General features: G+C 41.1%; 1 long non-coding RNA gene across 2 annotated transcripts in view, besides 1 other annotated feature; it reads left to right on the top strand.

Annotated features, from left to right (window-relative positions):
- LOC124902515 (uncharacterized) overlaps positions 1–20,481 on the top strand; it is a 66,678-nt gene that overhangs the window by 8,412 nt on the left and 37,785 nt on the right. The gene's annotated exons all lie outside the window — the stretch shown is intronic.
- Positions 17,021–18,220: an enhancer, noted in NCBI's record as "P300/CBP strongly-dependent group 1 enhancer chr10:122918427-122919626 (GRCh37/hg19 assembly coordinates)". NCBI's record gives its function as "activates an origin of replication core promoter dependent on BRD2, BRD4, P300/CBP, MED14 and CDK7 cofactors, with strong dependence on P300/CBP, by STARR-seq in HCT116 cells {active_cell/tissue: HCT116}" and the evidence as "EXISTENCE:reporter gene assay evidence [ECO:0000049][PMID:35650434]".

Below are 20,481 nucleotides of genomic sequence, written 5' to 3'. Positions count from 1 at the left end.
AAAATACATTTGGACTTTCAAATTTCCTTGAAGGATAGCTGAACTTTGACTTAAAAAATATATATTCAAGGCTGGGTGCTGTGGCTCACATGTGCAATCCCAGCACTTTGGGAGGCTGAGGAGGATGGATCACTTTAGGTCAGGAGTTCAAGACCAGCCTGGACAACATGGCGAAACCTCGTCTCTACTAGAAATACAAAAATTAGCTGGGCGTGGTGGCAGGCACCTGTAATCCCAGCTACTTGGGAGGCTGAGGCAGGAGAATCACTTGAACACAGTAAGTGGAGGTTGCAGGGAACCGAGATTGCACCACTGCACTCCAGCCTGGGTGACAGAGCAAGACTCCGTCTCAAAAAAAAAAAAAAAAAAAAAGTTGTGTGTGTAAGTGTGTATATATATATATATTCAGGTATCTATAGTACAGCTCACCTTATTATCATCATAATTGTTTAAAAAAGTGAAATAAACACAACTTATCTGGGAGTTGATCCTGAAAGGGTGATTCTAGCAGATTTTGAAATTTACTTTTCATAAAAACTTCGAGTTGTCACTGATGAAAAGAGGCATCTAATCAACCATCTAAAAGATCCAGCTGTGACCATTAGAACCTCTCCCTTTTTCCTCCCCTTACCCCATCTGTTTTAGTTTTTGTGGGGAAGTATTATTCTTTTTATTTACAAATGGCCATAGATAAGATTGTAATAATTGTCAGTATCACAGTCTTGGGGGATGCACAGAATAATAATTTTAGCGATAGAATGCATCTTAGTGATTCCTAGGTTGAACTCATTTTAAAATTGAGGTTTAGGCTGGGTGCGGTGGCTCACACCTATAATCCCAGCTCTTTGGGAGGCCAAGGCAGGTGGATCACTTGAGGTCAAGAGTTCAAGACCAGTCTGGCCAATACGGCAAAACCCTGTCTTTACTAAAAATACAAAAATTAGCCGGGTATGGTGGTGCATGCCTGTCATTCCAGCTATTCTGGTGGATGAGGATTGAGAATCGCTTGAACCTGAGAAGTGGAGGATGCAGTAAGCCGAGATCATGCCACTGCACTCCAGTCTGGATGACAGAGTGAGACTTTGTCTCAGAAAAAAAAAAAAAAGATAAAATAAAATGGAGATTTACACATCAATTTCATCATCCTATACATAGAAGTGTGCATTATTTGTGGTAAACGGCCTAGAATTGTGACTTTTTAAAGCTGGTTGTTGTGGGGTTTGAATAGCCAAGTCCTGCCTGGCTTTCTTGGCAACTCCAAAGGCCAAGGTTGCCATGGGAGGTGGGAAGTGACAGTTTTCCCATGGAGGGGCTCCAATTATGGCCCCACCTGCAGTGTCTGATGCTGTCCTCATTGGCCTGGACCCTCAGATGGACTGTTGGGCGGGAGAGCTGACTCATATCATAAACTCCGTCAGGAAGGTGTTATGATGACAAGCTCAAGAGTGGAACATAAACTTTCAAATTCGCCTGCACAGTCTGAGGCTTTTACATAACATGGTTATTTAATTTTCATCAGTGATTTCCTGACCTACTTTACACTTTAAAGATAATAGTTTCAGAAACTACGGTGGTGGACGCCTATAATCCCAGCTACTCTGGAGGCTGAGGCAGGAGAATTGCTTGAACCCAGGAGACGGAGATTGCAGTGAGCTGACACGGTGCCACTGTACTCCAGCCTTAGCGACAGAGTGAGACTCTGTCTCAAAAAAAAAAATAAAAAAAAAGAAACTACATAAACCACCTGGGCTGTTACCAGCGATGGAAGGTTATTTGATGCTAAGGTGTTTTTCTGTTCATTTGCCAAACAAAGATTGATCAGCTGTTTACAAAACAATGAACTAAGTGCTGTGGGAAATGTATAAAAATAAAGTCTGTGATCTTAATGTGGTCGGCATTTAGTAGGAGGACTAAAGCAAGACAGCACTTTTAAATTTGTTTTCTAACTAAGTGTGGTTCAGAGAAAAGGATATGATATGTCAGATGAATTGATTTTCACAATTTCTGGTCTCAGTTGGGACAGATCGAGGGAGGATTCTAAGAAATGTGTTGGTAGGCAATTTGTGTGACCATCATAGAGTGTGCTTACACAAACTTAGATGGCATAGCCTACTATACACCTGGGCTACGTGGTAGAGCCTGTTACTCCTAGACTAGAAACCTGTACAGCATGTTACTGTACTAAATACTGTAGGCAATTGTAACACAATGGTGAGTATTTCTGTATCTAAACAGATCTAAACTTAGAAAAAGCACAGTAAAAATAACCATATTGTCATCTTAGGGGACCACCATTGTATAAATATATTTTGGTCCATTGTTGACCAAAATACAGTTGTGTGATCCGTGACTGTGTTTGAGATGGGCTTTGAAAGTCGGCAGGATTTGGGTGACTGAGTCGGAGTGTGTGTGTGTGTGTATGTTGGAGTGTGTGTGTCTGTGTATGTGCACACTCATGCGTGGGTACCTGCTTACGTGCAGTCGTCTGGGTGAGAGAGGGATGGGTCTGGGAGCGGTGTTTCTGGTGAGAACCAGCGTAAACAGAGGCCGGAAGTGGGAAACTGGGGCCAGTGTCTAGAGAAGAGAGAAAAGTTTGTTTGCACCTGGCTGTATCCATCCTTTGGATTTTTGAAACATTGTACCTGTCTACCAGGCCTGCACCATTTTTTCAAAAGAACTCACTAATTATTCATACCATAATGGAAAGTTTCCTTCAGGGTGTTCATGAGAATAACTTCTTCCAATTCTATAGTGATAGATAGTGAAATAATTAGATTGCAAGTGGGCGTGAAATATAATTTGTTTTTTTGAGTGTCTTGGCTGTTGGCTTCATTTTAGTGGTTATTATCAATTATAAATAATAATAATAATTATAATTATTATTTGAGACAGAGTCGTGCTCCGTCGCCCAGGCTGGAGTGCAGTGGCATGATCTCAGCTCACTGCAACTTCTGCCTCCTGGGTTCAAGCAATTCTCCTGCCTCAGCCTCCCAAGTAGTTGGGATTACAGGTGCCCGCCACCACACTTAACTAATTCTTGTGTGTGTGTGTGTGTGTGTGTGTGTGTGTGTGTGTGTGGTTAGTAGAGATGGGGTTTCACCATGTTGGCTGGCCTAAGGTGACCTAAGGTGATCCACCTGCCTTGGTCTCCCAAAGTGTTGGGATTACAGGTGTGAGTCACCATGCCCGGCCTAGGGGTGATTATTTTTTTTTAAAAAAAATTTATTTTAGGAGCTTAGAAAATGAATCTGTATTGAACTGATTTAATTACAAAGTATTTATTTACTTTACAAAAGAGATGCCTAAAGAAGATTCCTATAAATAGCCAGTTTCCCTCATTGTGTTTACAATATAGTTTCTTTTGCTAAAATTTGGTTTACACTAAATTTTCAGGTCCAAGTGCATGGAGTAAGGCACACTGTATGAGCAGCATGGAAATTAACAATACATTTTTTGTCTCCATTAATTTTTATGTTATACATTAACATGAGAGGGTCATTGTTCATGGTTGGGGAGCACATGCCAATCCCTTGGGAAAGGAAATGGTACAACTTCTATTTGCATTTGTTTTTATGAGAAAAAATAATCTTACTGATATTTAACATATGGGTTGATGGTAGTACATGTATATAATTTTAAAGTAAATATACATGTATCGGGGTTGTGTGTTCATAAGGTTGTTTTTGGCTGGCTTGTGTTTTGACTGATAAGCACCTGGGGAGTTATATTAATATATTTTGAACATCAGCCTCGGGTGTGGGCCAGCTTCAGCTTCTCGTCTTTAGATGAAGAGTTATGGGAGCCATTTAAGGATTTTAAGCAGCAGAGTGCTTGATCAGAGGTGCATTTTATTTTTATTTTTACGTTTTAAAATTTCAGATTCAGGGAGTACCTATGCAGGTTTGTTACATGGGTATTACATGATGCTGAGGTTTGGGCTTCTAATGACCCCATCACCCAGGTAGTGAACATAGCACCCAATAGGTAGTTTTTCAACCCTTGTCCCCTCCCTCCTTCCACCTTTTGGAATCCCCAGTGTTTATTGTTCCTGTCAGAGGTGGCATTTTAAAAAGATTACTTAGGTTACTGTGTGCAAGAAAGGAAGGCCAGTTAGGAGATGAGACCAGTACTCCAGGGACTCTACAATCATGAGAGAAAGTTGGGGCCACAGGTGGCAGAAGCTATGTTGACCTACTGGTGCTATCAGCTTGAGATCACATTTGGTACAATTGTTTTTCTTAACTATTTTCTGTGTTACATTTGCCCTGGGGCTTTATGGCATGTATCTGATTATCCAGCACTGTAAAGGGATGAGTGTTGAGATTAATGAAGACTTGCCTTAAATCAGTTTCTTTTCTGAGAATTCGAGTAGAGAGAAATCCGTCTAACAGTGAAATTTTACTTGTTTGCTGAAAGCAGAGGCTTGTGGAGCCCTTGTACGATGACTCCAGCTGAGACTCTGGCAAGTGTTGATTGAGCAGAGAACTTCCCTGACCACCCCACGAGAAAAAGCTCCCACCCTCCACACAGACATACAGGCTTTTGCTCTTACATCATCGCACTTGTCGCTGTCTGAAATGACTACGGATTTGTTTTCTTGCTTACCATGGGTCTTTCTTGCTTGGATGTAAGGGCAGAGACCATCAATCTCCAGCCCTGGAATAGAATCTGACATGTAGGAGGTACTCCATTTTTTTAAATGCTCGAATCTGGACTTGCCCACGAACAAACATCAATTATCCTCATATGGAGCATTGTGAGGGGACCTGCTGGTTAGATGGCAGAGTTTAGCATTCATGCCCCAGGCCCTGGAAAGTTTTGTGGAGCTTCTCATTTGCCAAAAAACTGTCATTTTTACAAATATTTTTCTGATCACGGAAGAAGAACAAAAGAGGAAATGAGAAATAGATGTGTGGTGCCCAGATGGCCACTGCTCTGAGCACAAGCAAGAGGCTGTCATGGCCCCTAGACAGGCTCAGTAAGGGCTGGAGGGGCAGCCTGTTAGTCAGGAAAGCTACAAGGAGGAAAGAGGTGGTTCTGGTTTTTTGATCATGCACCAATTATGCTTTTTGCTTCTAGTTGGTTTTTATTTAATTTTTTTTCTTTAGGGATAATTTGAGGACCAAGCACATAGCCTTTTTCTGTCCCTTCCCCATCTCCCTTCCCTTCCCCTCCCCTCCCTTCCCCTCCCTTCCCCTCCCTTCCCCTCCCTTCCCCTCCCTTCCCCTCCCTTCCCCTCCCTTCCCCTCCCTTCCCCTTCCCTTCCCTTTCCCCTTCCCCTTCTCCCTTCCCTTCCCCTTCTCCCTTCCCTTCCCCTTCTCCCTTCCCTTCCCCTTCTGCCTTCCCTTCCCCTTCTTCCTTCCCCTCCCTTCCCCCTAGTTCTATTCCCTCCTTCCTTTCCTTCCTCTTTCTTTCTCTTTTTTCCTTCTTTAGATAGAATGTTTTATTAATTTAGGTGGATTTTGGGTTAATAATTAAAATAATAAAATGTCTAAGATTTGTTGAGCTCTTAACACGAGCCAGGTGTTATTGTGCTACACACTTTAAAGAGGCTCAGCTCATTGAAAGCTAACAATAACTCCCTGTGTATTGCTACCATTAGCTCCATCTTACAGATGAGGAAACAGAGATTTTTAGAAGGTTCAAGTAAATGTGCTCAGTTGCACACAGCTGAGAAATCATAGGTCTGAGAATTAAACTCCGGTGAGCTCTCTCTAGAGTTCACAGACAAAACTAATACACTACACTACTTCCTCCTGTAATGTTATTTAACTTTCTCTTTCCTAGAGAAAGACATTGCTGCAGCACACTAAAACAAAATTTTAACATAGTCATCACACTATTCAGTGTACTAGCTACTGGCAGCTTCACGAGGACTCTGAGTTCTTGGAGAAAAGGGATTGTGCTGTGTCCATTGTTATGTCCTTAGTGACTCCAATATGATATGTACTTAATAAATATCTACTCAATGAAAAGTGAATGACCTCGTTTTTCTTTTCTCCCAGTCCTCATATCATAGGCAGTAGTAGCAGAAAGGATTTGAAATTTATTTTGGCTTTTAGGCAATGTCAAAGCTCCAAAGTGCATGGCAATATGTCTGCACTGTCTCCAAAAGCTACTTCAGGATCCTGCTGCATCTTTGGGTGCGTCTTAATAAAACGTTTTCAGAAGAGTAGTTCAAAAGGCACTTGCCAACAGGACCAAATTCTACTCTATGGTTAAAAGCATGAAAAGCAAGCCCCAATGAAACAACAAAGATTTTACTCGTTTTCATTGCAAGTGGCTTTTCCTGCTTGTTCTTCTTTCACCATCCCACCATTTGACCTCAAACTGGGGCATAAAAGCTGGTGGACATGGGCCATGGGGCATACATCCATAGCTGAGACTTGGCTCAGCTGACAGGTTCTAGTCAGCCATTGCTGCTGGATTTACCCTATAGGACAGAACAGTAGGGGTATCTACAGACCTCCTGCATCAAGATTGGTGGTGATACCTGCTTTTTAGTCTGAGCTCTTTATCTGGGATCCTACAAGCAGTGATTGGGCCCTGATGTGTCTGCTCATTAATTCTTTAATTTCTTAACTCATTCAATAGCTATTTTTACAGAGTGGTTGGATGGGTTAAAAACTATGTTAAGGAACTAATTGTGACATAGGACTTCTCCTAGGCCTCACTGCAACATGCAGCCAGTGTATTCCACCAGGATCCGATCTTTGGGACATCCATGTGGCAGAGAGCATTGGGCAAGAGAGATCCTGTTACAGCCCAAGAAATCTCGAGGGATAAAGATCCTAACATGGTGACAAAGGGTGCAAGCAATTGGATCCAAGGCACAATTTACATTGCATTATCAAGGGGAAGGGTTACATATTGGTTAAAAAAGAAAACCACTCCTCAATTACTTTTGGAACTGCTGCAGCATAGAGTGAAGAATAGTTGCTGGAGCAAGAATTAGAAAACTAGTCTTGACTCTGCCACTGACTTACGTTTTATGCCTTGTGCCTAGTAGACACTCAATAGACATTTGTTGAGTATTAAGGAAAAGCTTGGGCAAGGTACTTAACTTCTCTGGCTCTCATTTTCTGTAAAGAGTAAATGATTTTTAAATCGCATGATTTCAAAAGTCCATTGCAACATTAACAGTCTGTGACTGATTATAGGAAGACACATGGAGGAGAGAAGTATCATAGATGATATCTGGCAACAAAGGCATTCTTTTAATCAACAACTTTATAAGTGGTTGGATTAAAGGTGACTGAGGACTTTCAGAAACACCAAAATTCCCAGCAAAGATTCAAGGGTTGCCATGGCCAGAAGTTGGCTGTATTAATTTAGCCCAGTATGAGAAGCAGAAGTTCATAGCTCAGAGTGAGGATTAGACTCTGAGTTTAAATCCTGCCCTGCCACTTATTACTATGCCCTTGGGTAAGTGTCTTCCCGTAAGCCTCAGTTTATGTGACGTGGTGATAGCAACACACCTTTCCTCATACCGTCACTGGAAGTGTTGAGTGAAAATGGTGAAAAACACTTGGCACAGTGCCAAGCATGGAGTGGAGGCCAAGCACATGTTTGGGGGAACAGACAAAAACATATTTACTCTGTACCCAAAGTTTTCCAGAAGGCTTAGCCAAACAATTCAAGCCATAGTGCTCTAGAGTTCTCCAGCTATTCAAGAATGGGGAAGAATGCCTCAAAGTATCTTTTGTGAGGAATATGCATTAAGAATACCTGCATTCATTTGTTCTGACTCCACAGTTATCAAATTATAGTGTGGATTTTCTTGTTTCCGTGAGGGAATGCACTGACCTGCTGATGTGGCCATTCCAGTCTGCTAAGAGTTTGCCATTTCTCATTACAAACCCATGGATTGGCATCCTGGTTATTTATCAGTCTTTTGGGAGTTTAGCAAGAAAGAGCTTATTACACAGGATTTGCCTTACTCTGGGAAGGAACCAGACCTGCTGAAATGAAGTTCCTGGAGCAGCAAAGTAGGTGGGGGCACATTGTGGACTGAGGTCCTAACCCCGTTGGGATTGCCTGAAGGATACTCGTCTCTACTGGAAGACACTTGGACTAGGTGTGAGCCCTTTCACCCTCTACCTGCCTTTCCTAAAGCGAAGGGTGCCCCACTGAGGCCGCTTGAGTTATAAAGGCCCTAATAAACACAGCCTAGGTGTTGGGTCTTGTCACCACTGGCTCCAGCCTTCCAAATGCAAACTTAAGAATGTCCCATAAATGGAGCAGGAACTCTTATCTTGGACCATAGTTATAATCTCCTTGTATCAACTCTGTCAACTGGTTCTAAGCCAAAATAATTGCATTTTACTATAATTATGTAATGAATACAGAAAACACATGAAATATTAAGCAAGATTGTAAACTTAGGAAGGATTGCAAATTCTGGGGCAATGATTTGGAAGGCACTACTTGAAGTTCTCGCTCACATCCCTCATTTTATTTAATCCTCACAAGTCTGCCAGGAGGATTTTAAAGGAAAATATCCTCATTTTATAAACAAGGGATCTGAAGCTCAAAAAGGTTGGGAAATGCTCCCAAACTCTTTTTCTTATTAAAGGGCAGAACTGAAGGTCAGTCTCAGGTCTTCAACGTCAAGCTTGGCTCTCTTTGTCTTTGCACTATACTGTTGAGGCTCTCCTGTACAAGTGTGTTTTGAAATATGCTGGAGGCATGTTTGTGAGTTTTATGAAAGTGTCAGAGAAAGAATTAAGAAGATCCTTTTTGCTTCCATAAAAAGAGAGTGGAAGTAGAGTAGGCTGTAGTGGGGTAGTCAGGAAAAGGCACAATATGTCTTTTAGCATGTCCTCAGCAAGGTTGAGTTTATTGTAGTACCCAATATTGTGAGATGCCTTAAGGTTCATAAATGTCCTTCTCGTTTTGCTTAGTTCTTCAGGAAAAATTCATTCAGAAGGCAAATTAAAGAAGGCTTAACACATTCTTGCACATTGATTTTTATTACTTTTATGGGTTAGTATGAAACAGCAAATTGCCACTGTAGCTCCTCTTACACACCCTTCTCAATTAGCAGGTGACAACCCTATTCCAAGACAAGTTTCCAATTTCACCCACAAGAATCCTGCAAGCACACATTCTACAATAGCATGGTTTCATGTTTCATAAAACCAGTGATACACTCATGGTAGAACTGGTATGGGTTTACACACTAATTTCCCCTCCCACCCCTACTAATTGTGAAAATATGAATACATTTCAAATCGGGTGCTACCTCTACCAATGCAGACATGCACACCTGTGACCAGTACCGGTTCAAGGCTGGGCTATTCAAGCCCCATGTTTATCATTCCAGTCCCACAGATCGAGTGGATGGCAGGTGAGAGGAAGACGCGTCACACACGCTGGGAGAAGCCCGATAAGGACACCGCAACTGCCAGCCCCTGTGTGTATTCAGCACTGTCCATTGTAATTATGGGAGCGGATTCCAAATGCAAGCTTGGATCCAACAAACTGTGTAGGTGCAATTAAGGAAGTGTTAGCTCTCCAAACTCTGGTGTTGGCCTCTGGAGCCCTTGCTTGCCAGGATGGAATTTACAAAAAAATAGAGCACCTGCATATAATATAGCACAGTACAGCCTTTGCTCTGGGTTAGAAAAACCCCAGTAGGGAGTTGAATATTCTAGATTTGCTGGTGAGCAATGCATGTGGTCAGTGCTCTGGAAAACAGGCAGTTTTTTATGAGCGATCATTTTTTCCTCAGAAAAATTCCTGGAGGAGTGTTCTGCACCCGCAGGTCCCTCTGTGCCACTGCAAGGGTGTTTCACTGCTGTTGTGCGTAGAAGCCATGTATAGCTCGTCTTCTGGCTGGATCCTCGGGTGTCTCTATGTACTCCCCCTGATTCAAGTCAAGACTGTGCTTCTGTGGCAGACTGATCAATATTTAATGCATATTGAAGACTTGAAGGGAAGGTTTCTTGTCCTGTGGGCACAGAGCTGAATAATCTTCACTAACCATGATTTTTTTTTTTTTTTTTTTTGAGACAGAGTGTCACCCTGTCACCCAGGCTGGAGTGCAGTGCGATCTTGGTTCACTGTAACCTCCACCTCTTGGGTTCAGGCGATTCTCCTGCCTCAGCCTCCCTAGTAGCTGGGGTTACAGGTGCCTGCCACCACACCTGGCTAATTTTTGCATTTTTAGTAGAGACAGGATTTCGCCATGTTGGCCAGGCTGGTCCCAAACTCCTGACCTCAAGTGATCCGCCTGCCTTGGCCTCCCAAAGTGCTGGGATTACAGACATGAGCCACTGCGCCTGGCCCCATGTTTTCTTTTTGGTACTTCATCTGCATTTGTTTATTGAACCAATCAATATTTACTGAGCACTTGCTGTATGCAACAAGAAAAATAATAACAATAACAATAATCACAATAGTACAAAACTGTCCTGATCTTTAAATGCTTCCAATATTTCTGGAAGAGTGCTAAGTGCTGGACACACATTATGTCATTTAATTCATGTAGCAAAATGCTAATCTCCATTTCATAGACAAGGAAAGTGATGGTGAAGTGCAACCTTGGATGATATAGGAGCTACGCAACCAATTTAGACACAGATGTTGCCTTCAGGGAGACTCTTATTCCTCAAGTCTTTATTGAGCACCTATTATGTTCCAAGTGCTTGTCCAGTTACTGGAGGTACAGGGACTCCTATGAGACAACAAAGTCCCTGACCTCAAGGAATTTCCCTTTTAAGAGAATATGAAATGTGCAAAAGCAATCTGTTTCAGTCAGCTCAGGCTGCTATAACAAAATACTATTGGCTTGGGGCTTACACAAGGAAGATTTATTTCTCATAGTTCTGGAAGCTGGGAAATCCCACCATCTGGTTGTCAGTTGATTCAGTGCCTGGTAAGGGCTCTCTCCCTGGCTTGCAGATGGCTGCCTCCTTGCTGCATCCTCACATGGTGGAGAGAAAGAGCTCTGGTCCCTTCCTCTTCCTGTAAGGATACTAATCCCATCATGGGGTTCCTACCCTCATGACCTCATCTAAACCGACAGTAGGGAAGGCCAAATTTGACCTCTTTCCTCTTAGCATTTTTGGCTGGTCCTGAGAATTAAATTGAGAAAAATACAATTAACAGGAAAAAAGCATATATATTTATTTAAGTTTTATGTGACTCAGCCCTCATAAGGAACTGACAACCCAAAGAAGCAGTTAGAATTAAATACTTACATACTGAACTGGACAAAGAGTAGCAAATTATGGAAACATTACAGGACCAAGAGGCTTGGGCTAGGGCAGTTAATGGTGGAAAATTAACTCGGAGGGGTTATTTGCATAAGATTTGTACAGATTTCCTTCTGGTATAGGGAGGACATTTTTTCCCATGAGAGTTTTATCTTCTACTTTTAGGTAGAAAAAGGGGGAGGCCAGAGTGCCACGCTTCTTGCGTCTGCTGTTTTCTTAAGTGAATTTAGCTCAAAATAATCCTTTTACCAAGTGGCAGCATATTCTTGCACCCTTCACTGCTTATCTCCCAAAGTTCCCACCTCCTAATGCCATCATGCTGGGATTGGGCTTCAACATTTCAATTTTGAGCAGGACTCAGATATTCAATCCGTAAAACAATTCTGTTAAATGACTCTAAACCTAGTCATCTTGCATGCAAACCACATCTCAAACCGCATTTGTCAAAAATGGTATGCGTAATTCAGATGCCTGACTGTCTCCTGAGAGTAGTTTGGTAACTCTCCAGACCCTTCCCTCCTGCCCCTGTCTGTTGACTTTCTGTCCAGCCACTTTGAGATCCTAAATTTAGATCATTGTTACTTTCTTTCATTAATGCATTTTAAATTTTAGAGTATAACACTTACACATCTTTCGGTAAAGGTATTCCTAAGTATTTTATTCTTTCAGATGCTATTATAAGTGGAATTGTTTTCTTAATTTTATTTTCAGATTGTTCATTACCAGTGTATAGGACTACTTTTGTTTTTGTAGATTGGTCTTGTACAGAAAATCCTGGCCAGGCATGGGGGCTCACACCTGTAATCCCGCACTTTGGGAAGCTGAGGCAGGAGGATCACTTGAGTCCAGGAGTTCGAGACCAACCTGGGCAACATAGCAAGACCTCATCTCTACAAAAAATTTTAAAATTAGCTGGGCATGGTGGCACATGCCTGTAGTCCCAGCTCCTTGGGAGGCTGAGGTGGGAGGATTGCTTGAAACTGGGAGGTTGAGGCTTCAGTGAGCCATGATTGTGCCACACTGTACTCATCCCAGGCAACAGAGCAAGACCCTGTCTTCAAAAGAAAAGAAAAATATTCTATAAACTCAATGAAAACATTTATTAGTTTTAATAGATTTCAGTGGATTCCTTAGGATTTCCTATATACAGAGTCAGGTAATCTATGAATAAATATAGTTTTATTTCTTTCCAATATTGGTGCCTTTTATCATTTTATTGCCTAATATCTCTGGCTTGAATCTCCAATACAATGTTGAATTTAAGTGGTGGGAATAGACATCCTTGTCCAGTTCCTGACTTTAAAGGAAAAGCATCCAGTCTTGCACTATTAAGTATGATGTTAGCTGTGGACTTTTCATAGATGCCCTTTATCTGGATAAGGAAATCCCTTCCTATTCCAAGTTGCTCAAGTGTTTCTCCCATAAAAAGTACTGAATCTTGTCAAATTCTTTTTCTGTGTATATTGAGCTGGTCATGTGGTTTTGTTTTTTATTCTATTGATACAGTGCATTACATTCGTTCATTTTTGGATATTAAACCAACCTTGTATTCCCAGACTAAATTCCACTAGGTTATGGTGCATAACTCTTTTTTATGTGTTGCCAGATGCGGTTTACTATTATTTTGTTGAGGATTTTTGCATCCATATTCATAAGAGATATTCGTCTGTAGTTTTTTGTTTGTTTTTCTTGTGATGTCTTTGACTGATTTTGGTATCAGGATAATACTGGCCTCTTTACGGGATTATTGGCCTTCCTCCTTTATTTCTCTCCTTTCTAGCTTCCCTAGGTCTCCAGGAAACCTTAAATCCTTATTTGTGAATATCTGTGGGTGGTGTCTGATGCAAACATCACCCTTTGCAGGAGACCCATGTGTCAGTGCCCTAAAAGACAACCTGAAGTTGCTCTGTAGCCACTCTTGTAGCACTTTGTAGATTGATCTCAATAGAGGATGAGCTTTTGCTGATTTTCTCCTTCAAAGGGATATTTGGTCTTAAAACTAATCTGTGCATGAGAATTTCCTGGGAAGCTTTTAAAAAATAAAACACTTTTTCTGGACCTTCAGAATCTTTGGAAGTGGTGCTCAGGAATCTGTATTTTAAAAAATCTCCCCAGGTGATTCTGATGATTGTCTAGGTTTGCACTCACTGTTGTTGAACATGGAGTCAAAATCAGCACAGGTCTTCTCTGCTGGGCTCTGAACACAATGCATTATCAGTCACTGCCCTCATCTTCCTTGATCTGTGATTTACAAACTTTTTAAAACTTGATTCATAGTATGAGGTGCATTTTACATCCTGACTCAGGACACAATATGTATGTTTGTGTGTGTGTGTGTGTGTGTGTGTGTGTGTGTAAACTGAAACAAAAGTTTTATGCAGTAACACCTACCCTTATAGAAAATGCATTCAGATTTTTTCTTTGCTATTCTGTTCTATTCTCATTTGTTCATTAAAAAAATTGACCAAACCTACAAACTAATTTCACAACCCACTAATAGATGTTGACCCACAGTTTGAAAAGCGGTATCCTAGAATGCATCCCAGATGCCTTGGCATTTCCTTTAGTCACCTTGGTTCTGAAAGCCTCAGTTACCTCTTCTGTAAAATGAGGTGGTTATTAGGTCAGATGATCTCTAAGCTCTTGGATTCTGTACATTTGTTGAGTAGTAAGTGTCTCTTTAGTTGTTTCTTGCTGTTGTCTATTCTCTTACACTGGATTAATACGTTGTACTTTCCAGTATATCATTGGTTTAATCTCTGTACTCACTCCAAGTACCCTGTATCCCTCTTAAACTAGAAAGGCCAGAACTGGCTCCAATAGATGTAGCATGTAGCATGTACCAAATATAATTCAATAAAATCCATCATCATTTTTATCTGCTGTTTGCTGTGTTTGAAGCATTAATAACAAAAAAAGGGAAAGAAACAACTTATTAGTAATGTTCTCTTTATTCGATCATTCAGTAATTATGTATTGGGTCCCTGCTATATGTGTATGATCTATGTGTGTTGGGCAAATAGAGAAGTCTTGAATAATTCCTTTTATTGGTTAAGACTTTTTAAAAAATTCACACATAGAGATGGAAGAAAGAATGAAGGCAGGTAGAGGTTATCACATTGTGATTTCATTGTGTAATGAACTTTCAATCTTTGTGCCAAAATGGATGGTGGGGTGGGGATGAGGCTGTAAATTGTATAGTCTATCAGTGAGAAGGGGCCATCTCAAATTTTAGCTTGTCTCCCAGTAAAGACAGTCTCACAAACGTTCTTAGGCTCTAGTGTCGGGATTCTTTTAACTGCAAGTGGCTGAAATCTCAACTCGAACTGGCTTAAGCCATATATGGAGTTTTTTGATTCACATCCCAGAAAAGTTCAGGGTACCAGCTAAATTCAGGGTATGGTTGATGCTACAAGGACTTGGTGTCCTCCCATTTCTTTGTTCTGTCTTCCATGGAATTGACTTCATTCAATCTGGTTGTCCCCAGCAGCTACATGTTCTCAAGATGACAACTCTAGACCTAACAAGCTCTTGGCACTGAGGTGAAAAGTACGTGCTGCTCCCCTTGCATTTTCACTTAGAAGTGACACTGAATGTTGTTGATTGGTTCCTTTGCCTGTTCCTGAACCAATTATAATGGCCTGGAAAATGCAATGTGCTGATGGGCGTGCGCCTGGATCATGTATCACATCCAAAAGTAGATGTGGGATTCCCTCCAGACCACATGGCCTGATTGAATGGGCAATGGATGCCCAGTGAAAACTGGGAACTATTGCTGAAGAAGAAGATATGACTGCCAGGAAGGACAGATCCATCAAATCAGAGACATAGTGCTTTGGGACAAGAAGAAGCCTAGTGTAGTGCTCTCAATTTACAACACGGAAAACAGGACTTTAAAAGGAGAAGTGACTTACATAAGACCCTTCCCCTAATGATCTGCATGACTTTGACTTTGGGCCATTCATTCATTCATTTATTCGTTAAGAATATATTAAGTGCCAGATATTGTCCTAGGTGCTTGGGATCAATCAGTAATAAACACAAAGATTCTTGCCCTTGTGGTGCTCCCATTCTGGCTTAGGTAAGGAAGCTAGGGGGTGCTCAAGGAGATACAATTTTACATAGGGTGGTCTAGACAAGACTTGAGAAAATGATAGTTCAGCGAATACTTGAAAAAGAGAAGGGAAGTTGGCCAGGTAGGTACCTTGGGGAAGAGCATGGCAGGGACAGAAAATCACCATTCAAAGACCCAAAGGTGGGAGTGTGCCTGACTTAGTTGAGGAAAAGCAAATAAGCCAATGTGACTAGAGTGGAATGAGGAAGGGGGAAAGAGACAGAATATGGATGATGGAGAGGTAAGGGAGAGGGAAGATCATATAGGACTTTGAGTACTTTAGCTTTTACTCTGATAGAATTAGGGAACCATAGTAGGGTTTGAGTGGATGAGTGCCATCATCTGACATTTAACAACGCTGTTTGTTTTGATGAGAACTTGAGAGCAAATGTAGAAGTAGAGGGATGATATAGGGGTTATCACAATAATCAAGGCAAGAATCAAGGTTGGCTGAGACCAGCTTTAGTGCAGGCAGTGAGAAGTGGTCAGGTTCTGGATGTGCTTTTGAAGGGTGAGCCAAAAGGGAGGTTTCAGGACAGATTGGATGTAGAGTAGGAGAGGAAGGGAAGAGTCAAGGATGACATCAAAGCTTTGGGCCTGATCAAGTAGAAGGATGGAGTTGCCATCAACTGAAATGGGGAAGGTTGTGTGTGTGGGGCTGGTTTGGCAGAGATATCAAGGATTCGGTTTTGCACATGTTATGTTTGAGATGTTTATCAGACATCCAAGTGGAAGCATAAGAGGCAGTTGGAAAATGAAGTCTGGAGATTGGAAGATGAGTCTTGAGGAATATTATTGAATTTGTCCATAATATGTTCACGAAACTATCATTTAGTTTAGAACACCTGTCTAAAGTCCTGTCTTGACTACCCTATATAAAATTGTATCGCCTTAAGTATCTTCAAAACTCCAGACTTCATTTTCATGATTCTAAACGTCACATATGAAAGATATGAAAACATCATTCGTATGTGATATTTAGAACCATGAGGCTAGATGAGATTGCTGATACAGTCATAGGTAGAGCAGAAAAGCAGGCTAAAGACTGAGTCCATGGGCACACTAACATGAAAACAAAGGAGAAAAGGAAGAATCAGAAAAAGAGGCTGAGACGGGGAACAATGGGTCAGAAGAAAAACCAAGGCTTTATGGGGCCTGGATGCCAAGTGTGTCATGGAAGAAGGAGTGATCAGCTGGTTCAAATGATTTTTATAGGTCAAATAAAATGGGGACTGAGAATGGAACCATTGATTTAGCAATATATAGATGACCTTGGCAAGAGCATTTTGGTGGAGAGGTGGGGCAACATGATTGGAGAATTTAAGAAAGAATAGAAGGTTTGGAGATAACAAATTGGCTAAAATATTAATCATTTATTTGCTTATGGGCTTGCAGTTTGGCCAGAGCTCAGCAGGAACTACTGTTCTTGGTCCTTTGCAGAAAAAGTTAATGAACTCTTGCACTTTGAGTGTCTCATCATAGAAATTTGACTAAATAATATCACTCACCTACTCCCAATTAATTAGCAATTTGTTTTAATAAAGTGGAGATGGTTTCAGTGAATCCATTGTTGGTTGATGCCACTGAGCACTGCCAGGGAATTCTATGTCTCCATCCTGGATGAGGCTACCATCTTGGACCTTGATCTTCTGGGATACCGATGAGCTTTGAGCAGACCAAAGTGTCTGACTAAAGTGACAGATTAAGATATGTGAATGACCACCTTCTCCTAAAATGCACTGAATTTTAAAAAATTAGTTGTAAGTCTTTCTCCCTAAAATTTCTGTTAAGCCCCTGACACTTGGTATCTACTACTTGCCAGGGCATGTTCAGAGGACCAGGTAGCAGCAAACGAAGGCAGAGCTCTGGGGAGTGGCCCCTTCTGAGATGCCTGGGGCTTTGTGGTTGTGTTGCTCATGGTGGTTTTCATGATACCCACACAGTGGTATCATGGTTTCGGCTAGTCATTTTGCCCATGCCGTGTAAGTCGGGCTCTGCTCTGATCGATGTTTCTGAAACCCTGTCATGTGTTAGGTTTGAGCTTCACTGATGGCAAGATACAGAGAAAAAGAGTACAAATTTGAGGGTCAGAGAGACAGTTGTTCAAGCCCCCAGCTCACTCACTCACTAGACAATTGTGTTTCACAAGTTCTATAATCTTTCTGAGCCTTGGTGTCTGCATCTATAAAACAGGGTTAATAATACTACTTACCTCCAGATTGTCTTGTCAACCTTCTAAACTATCAAGCACTTGCCTGTGTTAACTGTTACTGTAGTATCCAATATAGGTGTGTCTCCTATTTCTATGGACTGTTTGAAAATATGCATGTGTGTGGGCACATGCACACCCACACACACACCCACACACACATACACACACATTCTGTCAATACTGGGAATGAACCAAAATAATTTTAGCTTTGAACTATTTCCTTCTCAGTTGAATGAGTCATTGCCCATTATCTTTATGATACAATAATGCAAAATGCCAGTGAAAGGAGCCGGTGTTTGTTTCAATGGACGATTAACCCTTCAGGTATGATTTTCCTTGTGTTGCTATTGAATTTTACATTAATTTTAAATTAAGGAAATACTTAAAAGGTAATAGCCAAGAGAACAAAAATGCTCTGTTAGTCCCATGGCAGTCATGAGAACTCCTGGCAGACCTGAATGGGATGACTGTGTAGTTACAAGCTGTGGGTTGCTGTTTGTGCAAGCACTTACCAGGTGCCTGTTTACATCTGACTGTGATGAAGGCCTGGCCCCTTCCCCAGAGGGTCATGGCCTGCAGGAGGAAGTCACACTGACATGGTTGCAGAGCTGAGTCCAGGTACAGAGTTCTGGATGCTGATTTTAAATACACCCTCTTTGTGTTTTCTTTCTTTTCTTCTTGGATTTCCTCTGTAGGGTTTTGATCACACCTTCTAGACATCATTAAAGGCAGTTCTTTTTCTCTCTACCTGAGATGCTTCCCCAGGCATATCATTAATGAGTGAGTTTAGTTTTAACTCCCATCTTTGAATCCACACAGCTTCAAGAGGGAATTTTCTAAAAAGACAAATCTGGTCATGGCTCTTGCCTGTTTAATATTTCTCCTGGCTACGGCAGTTTTATTTTGTAATTTAATTGTTATTTTAATTAAAGTTATACATTAACATAGGTTTTCTTTTTAAAAGGCAGAGTAGTACTAGTTTATAAAGAAAACAGCTGGCTCTTCCCTGTTCTTCCCAAACCCCAGGAGGAGCTATTTTTCACTTTTTCACAGTTTCTTCTCACACTTCCCAATATACACTTACACTCTGTGGTTGGCAGAATAGTTGTCCTTCCTAACCCAAAGGTGTCCATGTCCTAATTCCCACAACCTGTGAATATGTTAGTTTATATGGCAAAGGGGAATTAAGGCCACCAGTGGAATCACGGCTGCTAATCAGTTGACTTTAAAATAGGAAGATTATCCAGGATTCTCTGGATGGAGCCAATGTAATCATAAGGGACCTTAAAAGTGGAAGAAGAAAGCAGAAGTTAGAACTCAGACTTGATACATCATCACTGGCTCTTTGCCATGAGCCAAGTGATGTAAGCAGTCTCCAACAGTTCAAAGAGCAAAGAAACGGTTTCTCCTCAGAGTCTCCAGAAAGAAACAGAGCCCGGCTGACCCCTTGATTTTGCCTGGATGGTCACTCTAGTGAGACCTGTTTTAGACTTCTTCTTCTTCTTTTTTTTTTTTTGAGACGGAGTTTCCTTCTTGTTGCCCAGGCTAGAGTGCAATGGTGCGATCTCAGCTCACTGCAACCTCCACGTCCCGGGTTCAAGTGATTCTTCTGCCTCAGCCTCCTGAGTAGCTGGGATTACAGGTGCCCGCCACCACACCTGGCTAATTTTTGTATTTTTAGTAGAGACAGGGTTTCACCACATTGGCCAAGCTGGTCTCGAACTCCTGGCCTTAGGTGATCCACCCGCCTCGGCCTCCCAAAGTGCTGGGATTACCAGCGTGAGCCACTGCACCCGGCCTAGACTTCTAAACTGAAGAACACTAAGACAAATTTGTGTTGTTGTAAGCTACTAAATTATTGGTAATTTGTTATGGCAGTGATAGAAAGTTAACATACACTTCAATTCCATGATTTTTTCTTTTGAGTTCTAGAGATTGTCTGTTGACCTGTTGTTGAAGGCAAAGATGTAACTTACACATGCCCTCTTTCCACCCTTCCTCCATTTCTCTTCTTCCACCCTCCCTGGTAGTTATATTATATTTTAGAATATTTAATGTGTAATACTTTCTTTATGGTAGTACATATTTTGAGCTGAGTCACGTAGTGTACTATGATTATGTTTCTTTTCTTGTGCAGCTTTTTCTTTTCCCTGGAGCTAATAATTATCTTCTTTGTTTTCTTCATTTTCTAGTGCTTACCACTAGTATATGCTCAAACATTTCACTAGAAGTGTAAATATCCTCTCAATATATTAAAACTCATCAGCTAATCTCTCAGTTGTATCCTTTTTTTGTGGAGACATTTTTTTGTTGCTCTCCATTCTTAAATTCCAACCCTGAATGTCTGCTCTCTAGGTTTGCTATGTGGTGGCTAACCTGTATCTCCTTAATCAGCCATGCCAGGGATTCTCCTTCTTCTGTGTTAGGGCCCCTGCTTCTTGTATCCCATTTTTTTTCCTACTCCGTAACTGTATTGATTTTTTTCTTTTCTTTTTTTTTAATGGAGCACATGCTCTAAAGCTTCCTAAAGAAAAGGATTCAGGAGAGGTCTGTTTTAGGAATGAATGTTCTCAAAATATCTGTATTTTACCCTCAAACTTAGTTGATGGTCAAGCTGGAAATGGAATTCTAGGTTGGAAATCATCTTTCCTCAGAATTTTGAAAGTTTTGCCCCCATCCAGTAGTTTGAGAAGTCTGAGGCTTGAGTTTTTTAAAATAATTTTCTCTTTTCAGTCCTCTCTTCTGGAACACACCTATTTTCTAGGATGTTGGATCACCTAGTGTTATGCTGTCATTTTATTTCCTACCTTGCTAGTTCTTTCTTCTTCTTCTTAACTTTGTCTTCCAAAATTGTTATTCAATCTTTTATGTCTACTCTGCTTTTTAAGATATTTTAATTATTCTTGTTTTATGTCAACTCCTTTTATATAACTCTG

This window comes from Homo sapiens, chromosome 10, assembly GCF_000001405.40.
Source record: "Homo sapiens chromosome 10, GRCh38.p14 Primary Assembly".
NCBI classification, from domain to species: domain Eukaryota; kingdom Metazoa; phylum Chordata; class Mammalia; order Primates; family Hominidae; genus Homo; species Homo sapiens.
The sequence above is the reverse complement of the archived record's forward strand: the minus strand, read 5'-3'. Positions and strand labels throughout refer to the sequence as shown.